This window comes from Homo sapiens, chromosome 5 (genome assembly GCF_000001405.40).
Source record: "Homo sapiens chromosome 5, GRCh38.p14 Primary Assembly".
In the NCBI taxonomy this organism is placed as follows: Eukaryota; Metazoa; Chordata; class Mammalia; order Primates; family Hominidae; genus Homo; species Homo sapiens.
This window is the reverse complement of record NC_000005.10, coordinates 176,698,700-176,708,929: the sequence shown is the minus strand read 5'-3', so window position 1 is coordinate 176,708,929 and position 10,230 is coordinate 176,698,700. Positions and strand designations below refer to the sequence as shown.

The window sequence follows — 10,230 nt, the reverse complement described above, 5'->3', positions numbered from 1 at the left end:
AGTGCAAAGACCCTGACAGCAGCGGGCCCATTACCCCCTGCAAGGAAGCCAGGCCTCAGAAGAGGTGGCAAAGTCACTGTCCATTTCCCCCTGGAACAAGCCCAACTACTCACCTACATGGGGTTTCTTCTGGTACCAAGGAATAGTCAGAAAAGAGACCAAATCAAATAGAAGCAGCTTAATATTTTCAGGCTGTTTGCAGGCCCCTGGAGCTCACATTTGGAGGGCTGGGAGGGGGTACCGGCAGAGAGGTGAAGCCAGGGGTTATAGAACGCATCAGCCAGACACAGTGAGGATCCCAGCTCTATTGCTCACCAGCTGTGTGACCTGGGCAATTGCTTCCCATCTCTGGACCTGCATTTTCTCACCTCTATCTTGCTTTTTCGGTTTTTTTTCTTTTTTTGAGACAGGGTCTCACTCTGTCCCCGAGGCTGGAGTGCCGTAGGGCCATTACGGCTCGCTGCAATCTCCGCCTGCCTGGCTCAAGCAGTCCTCCCACTTCAGCCTCTTGAGTAGCTGGGACCACAGGTGTGCACCACCACACCCAGCTAATTTTTGTATTTTGTGTAGAGACAGGGTCTCGCTATCTTCCCCAGGCTCGTCTCAAACTCCTGGGCTCAAGTGATCCTCCTGCCTCGGCCTCCCAAAGTTCTGGGATTACGGGCATGAGCCACCGTTCCTGTCCTCTATCTTGTCAAGTGTAATTCCTGAAAACGGTATTTATGAAGCACCTGGTAGAGGTAGCTCCTCCATCCACAGTGGCTGTGATTGCAACACCCAATTTCGAGCCACGCTCTGTGTTGTTCTGCAGGGCTTATTAAGCACCTCCTGACCACAGGAACAGAAGAGGGCATGATTCCCGCACCCAAGCTCTACACAGGGAGGAAGAGGCATCTGTGGAGAGCAAGGGAAGCACACGGTGCTGGCAGAGTCGGAGAGGACAGGGTCACTGGGGCTGTTGTCTCTCTCTGCCCAGCTTATGGGACTTCTTTTCTTGAAACAGAATCCATGCATCAGAAGTCTCCCCTCCTCCTCCCTTAGTTCCTGCAGATCTGGTGGGGCTCCCCCTCCACCAGGGTCAGGGGTACAATCGGGACCAGACCTGACCTTTCAGCCCTGTGGGCCCCACCGCTCCACGGTGATTGGTCAGGGGTGGAGTAAGCATCAACCCTGGGGCCTTGGCAGAACCCTGGGCAAAGGTTTCTCTTTCCACAGGGGTTGCTAACTGCAGGATGGGCACCTGGACTACTGGGGCCATCCCTCTCCTCCTTGCGGAGGGCCTTCTGAGAATGAAGTCACATAGAAGCCAGAAGAGCCCAGAGATGGAGACCAAGCACCCATGACACTGTTGGAATCCCGGGAACCACCCAGGCCCGGTCCAGCAGCACCATCTCTGGACTTTAAACTGATGTCAGACAATTCTCTTTCAGCTCATGCCAATTTTAATTGGGTTTCTGTTATTACTTGCAACCAAAGATTCCTGACTGATTCAGAGGATTTCGTTAGGAGAGTTAGAGCTTGAGCTTCCGAGAAGGATCTGAATCAATGATTAGGGAGGGACAAGAGTGTGTATTAGGGAATGATAAGAAATGAAATTGAGAGGTGGTATGGATGTGTGTTTGTTGCTGCCCCAGCATCCATTTCCTCCCCTCCCCCTTCCTCATAGAATCTGAAATGTCCTAGTCATGGATTTTGGTAAAATTGACCCCAAATGCAGCTTCAAGGGTGGGCCCACGTTAGCTTAGCTGATAGCATTTTCCATCCCCATGTCCAGGTGGAGATAACTGAATCATGGAGGCGGTTTCCCCCACCCTGTTCTCCTGACAGTGAGTGAGTTCTCATGAGATCCGATGATTTTATAAGGGGCTTTTCCCTTTTTTGCTCAGCACTTTTCCTTTCTGCTGCCATGTGAGGAAGGATGTGTTTGCTTCCCCTTCCACCATGATTGTAAGTTTCCTGAAGCCCCCAGCCATGCTGAACTGTGAGTCCACTAAAACTCTTTCCTTTATAAATTACCCAGTCTTGGGTATGTCTTTATTAGCAGCAGGAGAACAGACTAATACACTCCCATTGCACAGTGATAGGTGTGCATAAATGAAGTAGTGCATAGCCCAACATCAGCATAATCAGGGCCAATGAGGTTCCATTGTGAGGCTTTCGTTTAATCCTGGGAAACATTCCCACTGAACACAAATAAGAAAGTGGCCTTGGAAGCTTCTGGTAGCCATCTTGCAACCATGAGAAGAGAGCCTGCTGAGAATGGAGCCTGTACCAGGGCAGATTCAATAAATGGAAGAACTGGGCCACATTGTTGGAGTCCTGGATCGGGCCACACCTGAAGGAGGATCTACCCTGAACTACTCAGCTACATGAGCCAGTAAAGTTCCTTTGGGCTTAGGAAGTTTGGCTTAGTTTTCTGTCATGTGTAAAAAAGAATCCTGTCTGCTTCAAATGAGACTCAAGGCGAGGCTCCCATTTCCTGGCGTCCCGCCCCGCAGTGGCCTAGGCCAGCACCAATACTCCATCCTCCTAGTCTGCACCTTGCGGCCTCTAGAAAAGAATTTAAATTCTGAGGCCACCAGAATGCAGGGATCCTCTCTAGGGCCTTGGAACTGAGACTCCTGAAGGGGCCAGGGATCGATGGAAGTTTGTCTGCCATGTGGGCTGGAGTGATCTCAGAGCCCCAGACACCCTGGAGGAGGCAATAACTCACCCTGGGTCCTCCTCTGCCCTTCCCCCAGCCCATCCTGGGCAAGGACAGCCATCAATCCCACTTATCAGTCCTCTTATTTCATCCTTTATCCAGCTGTCTTGGATATCACTCCACATCCTTAACTCAGAGTTATGAGAGATTGAGCGCTCGGGCCTGGGCTGGCTGAAGGATTCATGGGTCCAGAGCTGCCCATTCATCAGGGAGAAATTGCAGTGGCTTTGGGGGTGGGGTGGAATACGATTGACTGGGTCAGGGAGAGGGGCCTTTGCTATCAGCAGCCAGAAATATCAAAGTCACGGCAAGGAGGCTGGGGATATTGGGTGAGAAGACCCCTACATTCCTGTGAAGACAATCCTAGGCCTACAGGGTATCAGCAAGACCAGCTCCAGGAAGCAAGGGTTCTATTTCTCAGCCAAACAAGGAGTTGGCTCAACAAATATGGGGCATCCCAGGCAGGGGAACCCAGGAAGATGAGTCCGACTTGCCCCAAAGCAATCCAAAGAATCTCCAAAAAATGTGTATCAGTCCCTGGCTACCCTGGTTAACCGCCCCGCACCACCCCTCCCGCCCCACAAAATGGCTGCCCGCTACAGTTAAAGTAAAACCCCTTCTCCTGACCCCAGCTTCTGAAGTCCTCTTTGATGGAGCCCCTGCCCACCTCACCTGCCACGCCCCAGCCCCTGCTGCCCCTGCCTGTTCTTCAGTCACTCCAGACCTTTGCATTCACTGTCCCCTCTGCCTGGAGACTCGCCCCCCAGGGTCTCACATGGCCGGGTTCCTTGCCACATTCAGGACTCAGGGCTCCAGAGAGGGCTTTCTTGCCCCCTCCTCATCTCCTGCAGCCCCCTGGCTGTTTTGTTCCCTTCACAGTGCTTAGCACTGGCCCAAATCGCCTAATGTTCCTTTTCCCTTTACTTGAAGAGATGCCAACTAGTAACCTAGTCCCTGAGGGCAGGGTTCTGTCTGTCTTCTCCATTGCTGGGTCCCCAGGCAGCCCTCACTGTGTCTCTGGACACCGCGGGCACTCTATAAATGTATGTTAAGTGCATAAACTACCACCCTCCACAGCCAGGCTCCAGGACGAGGCACGTTGGAAAGGGGCAACTGCCCGAGGCTGTGCTGAGAGCTGAGTTTTCCTCGGACCCCACCGGAGTGGCTTCTCTAGGAAACACAGGGGAGGGAGGCTGCTTGTTCGGGAGGCATGGCTGTTTTGTGTCTCCAGGAGGTTGCCATGGGAACGCCCGGCTGTGCAGCAAAGACCCCCCTTAAAGTTAGAGATGTGGAGATATGAAGAGATGGCGCAAGTCAATGAAGTATTGACCAATCATTGCAGAGCCTCAGCCATGGGCAGGGGAGGACTTTCGGGTCACCCTCACCTGCCCTCAACTTTATCTTGCAACTCTTCTCTGTCCCTTCACTCGTACCTTCTCTCATTCCCAGCCTGCTTCTATCTGTGTGGCCAGGAACACCCACTTGGGGGCCACAGGTCCTGTGAGGTCACCCAGGCATCCACCATCCAGGTGTTGGGTGATGGAAGAGGTATGACAGTAAACGCAGAAGTGGGAGATGAAGCATGACAGCAAGCATGTATTGAGCACTTACTGTATGTATTTCAGAATCGATGCAGCAAGCATGTATTGAGCACTTACTGTATGTATTTCAGAATCAATGCAGCAAGCATGTATTGAGCACTTACTGTATGTATGTCAGAATTGATGCTTATACCAATTACTGGACTCAATCCTTACCTGGCCCCAGAGGGGAGGTGTATCAACCCCACTTTACAGATGAAGAAACTAAGGCTCAGAGAGTTTACGTGAAATTTTTGGAAATTCCCACCTAACATGAGGTAATTCCAGCATTAGAACCCAGGGAGTCCAAATCCAGAATTCAAGCTCTTAACCACGCTGCCATCCCAGCAATTCTAAACACAAGCAAGCCTGGTAATTCCTGCGGATTGAATGGTTACTGCAGGCCAGGCACTTTGTTTCCTATATTAGCCCATTTTCATGCTGCTGATAAAGACATACCCAAAACTGGGAACAAAACGAGGTTTAATCGGACTTACAGTTCCACGTGGCTGGGGAGGCCTCAGCATCATGGCGGGAGGCGGAAGGCACTTCTTACACGGCGGCAGAAAGAGAAAATGAGGAAGAAGCAAAGGCGGAAAGCCCCGATGAACCCATCAGATCTCATGCGACTTATTTACTATCATCAGAATAGCACGGGGAAGACTGGCCCCATGACTCAATTACCTCCCCTTGGGTCCCTCCCACGACCCATGGGAATTCGGGGAGATACAATTAAAGTTGAGATTTGGTGGGGACACAGCCAAACCATATAATTACATAGGTGCCTTTGTTATTTCACACTGGGAAACGAAGGGCGTCAGGAATAAAGTTATTCACCCAAGTGGTAGAGTTTGGATCTGCACACTTGCCCAGAGTCCAAGTTTGTGGGCCCTGGACACTGAGGGCCGGAACAGACCCTCCAGCCCGGCCACTCTTAAATTCCAGGGTTTAAGGAAAGGCAACACTTCCTTTCCCCAAACCCCACCATGCCCAGGGCCTGGGGAGGACACTGAGGAAGTCCAGCAACCTGACCAGAGCAAGTGGCCCCGGCTGGGCGGCAAGATGCCTTTGGACCACAGCCGGGAGGGGACGTACACCCCCTGTCTAGGGTCGGGGCCAGGCGGGGTCCCACTCTGCTACTCACATGGGCAGGGCCCTTCTCTGAGCCTGGGCCTCCTCACTGGAAATGTGGAATAACTCTTCTCGCCACTCTAGGGATGTTGAACATGCCTGTGAACGTGTCCATGAACAGGGCCGCCACGGCGCAGGCGAGTCCACCGCTAGGAATCAGATGAATGAGAGAGTCGGTATTTACTGCTGCGAAGTATCCTTTCTTCCTCACCCTCCAAACAGATTCTCTCCAAGGCATTTCAAATGGAGATTAAATTATAAAACTTTAATTCAAATGCAGTTTTCTAGGAATCTGCCAACTGCATGCAGTGGCTTAGAGCCGAGCAGCTCTGCGAGGGCCAAACGCAGCCCGGTCTGGAGGTGGCCCCTCAGCTTGCTGCGAGGACGCACTCCCCAGGCCTCTCCTGGGCTCTTGCTGTCCCTGTCTCCTGGCTGTGCCTTCAGCCATCACCGGGGAACAGGCAGCAGGGGGTGGGGTGGGATGGGATTGGCTGGTGGAGAGAGGGTGCCTATTGTTCTTTTAGGCCATGTTCTGGCGTCTTCCCCCAAAAAGAAACCTCTTTCTCCCAGGCCCTTGGCAAGAAAAGGCATGAGACATCTGACAGAGGGAAGCCAGACATCTCTCTTCATTCCAGAGGGCAAGCGGGGCTTTTCTGGGAAATCCTCCAATTTTCTCTCTGATGCTGCCCCCCGACCACCCTGCCACCAACGTCCAGAATGTCAAAGCTCTAAATAACCTAGCACCTCTCTGTGTTTGCATTAGTTACCCGTCACTGCAATAAAGCTGTGTCACAACCTACTCCAAGAATCTCAGTGACTGAAATCCACAATCATTTCTTTTTTTTGTCCATAGGCTTCAGGCCACAGGTCAGGCTCAGCTCTGCTTCACATGTCACATTCCAGGACCAGAAGCTACCCAGAGGGTGCTCTTCTCACGGTGGCTGGAAGAATGCAAGGAGCCCCTCAAAACCACACACACAGGCCGGGCGTGGTGGCTCATGCCTATAATCCCAGCACTTTGGGAGGCCAAGGCGGGTGGATCACCTGAGGTCAGATGTTTGAGACCAGCCTGTCCAACATGGCGAAACCCCGTTGCTACCAAAAATACAAAAATTAGCTGGGCGTGGTGGTTGGCACCTGTAATCCCAGTTACTTGGGAGGCTGAGGCAGGAGAATCGCTTGAACCCGGGAGGCAGAGATTGCAGCGAGCTGAGATCATGCCACTGTATTCCAGCCTGGGCAACAGAGCAAGACTCCGTCTCAAAAAACAACAACAATAACAACAAAAGCAAAAACAAAAAGCAAAAAGTAAAACCCACACACACAGCTTGAAAGCCTCTGCTCGCATCACATCTGCTAACATTCCGTTGGCCAAAGTGAGTTATGGGACCAAGCCCGACATCGCTGGGGTGAGGATGTGTCCTCAGTCCATTTGAATGGAAGTCACTGCAAAGTCACGTGGCGTTACATTAAATAAACAGCAAAATAACAACAACAACAAAAGTGACCTGGCAAAGGGTGCAGCACTGTGAGTCCATTACAGGGAGGCAGTGCTTACAAACAGGATGGAGTGAGTGTCAGCTGGTCATTGCCTTCAAGTCCGTTTGCCTTTGAGGGGATTCATCTTCCCGCCTTTGGAGGAGATGCATCTCCACTGACTCCATTCCCAGCTATAGGGTGGGCCCAGCAGGCTCAAGACAGCCTGACACCCTATTCCATAGCCACAGTCATTGACTCAAAGATAAGCCTTTGACGTAAATCAACGAAGGACACTGAATCCCCAAAATAAATCCAGAAACCCCCTCCCTTCCTCACCAGAAATAACAAAGAAACACAGAGTCCAAGGGGCTTTTTGGCAACCGACCTCTGCCTCTGAGGGTAACCAGCCTGGGGATGGAGCTGTGGAAAACAGTGCAGAGATTCAGAAAAAACTCGGGTCCTGGGGTGATGGGATTTAGCTGGATCAACCTTTACCTGAAACCTGACTACCGCTTGACTTTTCACTTGTAGGAGCAAATACATTCCCTTTTTGGTTTAGGCCAGTTTGAGTTTCATCCTCCATCATTTGTACCCCAGAGATTCCTGAGTGATAGCGATGACATCAGAGAGAAGACAAGAGAGAAAGAAGGCTTCCCAGCCTTTTCACCTCCTTACACAGCTCCGCACCAGCCGTGAATGTAGGCCCGAGAGGGGCCCATTGCGAGATTTGATCAGCTCCACCAAGAGGGCTCAGAGCCAGCCAGTCCCCCACACTTTGCTGCACCCGCCATGGGCTTCGTCGAGCCAAACAATCACCCCCCTTCATCGAGACCTGCTCACCTCTGGATGCAGCCTGGAGTCGCTGGCTGGCCCCAAGGGCCAGGGAGTCTGGAACTCCTGCCTCATAGAGCAAAGATCCGTTTGCACGGAGTGGGAGAATGTAGGTCATTTTTCAATGCGTGTGGCTATCTTTGGGCAACCATGAATGTCAGAAGTGGGGCTGGGATGGCAGGGCTTGATCCATTGGTATTTGTCTCAGAAGGAGCTGCCTACATCTGCCCACTCACCGAATATGGGGGGATCTGGAAAAGGGGATATGGAGTGTGTTCCCCACAACACATACACTATAAACAGGGATGAGCTTGACTCTCTCTGGACCCCAAAGCCTTACTCCCATCCCTTAGACACTGAGATAAGAGACAACTTTCTTTGTTGTGATTGCTGTTTTTAAATCTTGTTTCATGAAAGAGAGAAAGAGAAAAGGCAAGTCCATTAAGTCATTTATTCCTAATGCTCCAAACACCACCGGCTGCTGGGGTAGTTCAGCAGTAGATCTGGGCTTGCAGAAAAATCAAGAAAATTAGTGCTTGTGAAAGGGGAAGATTGACAGCCCTGGATAGGGGCGCACAGCCTGCCGGCTCCTCCTCTCGCTCTGTGAAGTCCCCTTTCTGCTCCCTCCAAAGCCGCTCAGCACTCCTTCCTCCTCCATCCAACCGCCCACCCCTGGCGCCTCTGCACAGCACCCCCACCCCCACCCCAGCGCAGCTCCACTCCCCTCTCCCCTACAAATCCTCGCTCCGCAGCCTGGACAGACAGTGCCCCCATCAGGCCACACTCAGCCCTGGGCTGTGGGTACTTGTGTGACAAAGACAAACACCCGTGGGAGGATTAGGAGAACACAGGCAAACCTCCACTGGTGACCCCAATTTCAGATTCGAATCCAGGTCTCCAGAAGTGAGTGTGAAGAAAACGCCTAAATTAAAATGCTAATTACCGTCTCCGCAATTCGTAACCAGACAGTCGCTTGTGTCTATTATTAACAGCTCCCGCCGCAGCCTCGGCTCGCCCAGAGACACGGATGATTTAAAGATTCAGGTGCAAGAGAAAATAGCATGAAGCCATGTATGTGTGGTGGAGCGCAGCTGGCGCCGGTGCCACACCCACTCTGCCCAGAGGTGACGAGGGCATGGGCCACCCAGGCCCCTTCCTGGGTGGAAACTTGGGAAGTGGATAGATCAGCCGGACCAACAAGATAAGGTCAACCCTGGTGTTTAAAATACCTGCAGAGGCCAGGTGTGGTGGCTCACGCCTGTAATCCCAGCACTTTGGGAGGCCAAGGCAGGTGGATCACCTGAAGTCAGGAGTTCGATACCAGCCTGGCCAGCATGGCGAAACCCTGTGTCTACTGAAACAAACAAACAAAAAAATGAAAAAATTAGCTGGGCATAGTGGCCTGTGCCTGCTTGTAATCCCAACTACATGAGAGGCTGAGGCAGGAGAATTGCTTGAACCTGGGAGGTGGAGGTTGCAGTGAGCAGAGATTGCACCACTGCACTCCAGCCTGGGCAACAGAGTGAGACTCCGTCTCAAGTAAATAAATAAATAAATAAATAAATAAATAAATAAATACCTGCAGAGCCCTCTATGGCTCCCAGAGGACCTCCATATTTTCTTAATTAAACCCCAGGGTTTAGAGAGCGTAGGAGTTTGAGCTCTGATCCCCAGGCAGGAAGAGGGCCAGGTAAGATTCCACCCTGGGCATGAAGCCCTCCCCGCCACTGGCGGTTCCTGGGATCCGGGACTGCCCAGGTACACAGTGAAGGAGGGAAGGGTTTGCCTGTGGGGAAAATGTGGCCCGTGGGCTGCCTGTTCCCACTGAGCCATGCTCCACTGTCACATGGCCTCCAGAAATCAGACAGAACTGGTCTCCAGGGAGGCCTTGGGTCTTGGCAATGCCCATGGAAGGTACCCAGGCCGAGTGCTGAGGCAGCGGGAGACAGCAGGGAAGGAATAAAGGAGGAATGTGTGACACCCAGTAGAACGGCCGAGCCAGAAAATACCCAAGTGTTCACTCTTCTGTGTTCACTGTGGGCGCACAGGGTGGCCGCACTGCCTGATAAGGACAGAGGCGGGTTTAGATCTCCTCCATAAACTCACTGTCCAGATGCACAGAGGCCACAAGGCCGCGTCCCCCACACATCGTCCTGTAAAGCTGCTGCCACAGTAGCCCCATCGCACCCTGAGATGACCTCGTCCCGCATCTGTGGGCTTGGGATGGGGTCTGCTTGGTGTCCCTAAAACATGGCTCCAGACGCAGAGGGTGCCCTGTGATGTCTTACCGAACCAGTGAATAAATATGTTAGATGCTCTGCCTGAACAGCTTCACACAGGCCTGGGCCGGCTCCTGCCAGCTTCTAGGAGCCAACTGTTAAATATTCAAGATTCATGGCTTTAGTTGTTCAACAATTAGTAGCTTGAGTCAGCCAGGGTGAGAGTATTTACACCACAGCCATCAGCAAAGGCTCCCAGTCCAGGCTGTTTTCTACCCAGCCCCAC

The 10,230-nt window shown here is 52.2% G+C and overlaps 1 annotated feature.

The window, feature by feature from the left end:
* Window positions 8,330–9,152: an enhancer, noted in NCBI's record as "H3K4me1 hESC enhancer chr5:176126779-176127601 (GRCh37/hg19 assembly coordinates)". NCBI's record gives its function as "activates a minimal SCP1, AML or CMV promoter by ChIP-STARR-seq in naive H9 embryonic stem cells {active_cell/tissue: H9 hESC(naive)}" and the evidence as "EXISTENCE:reporter gene assay evidence [ECO:0000049][PMID:30033119]".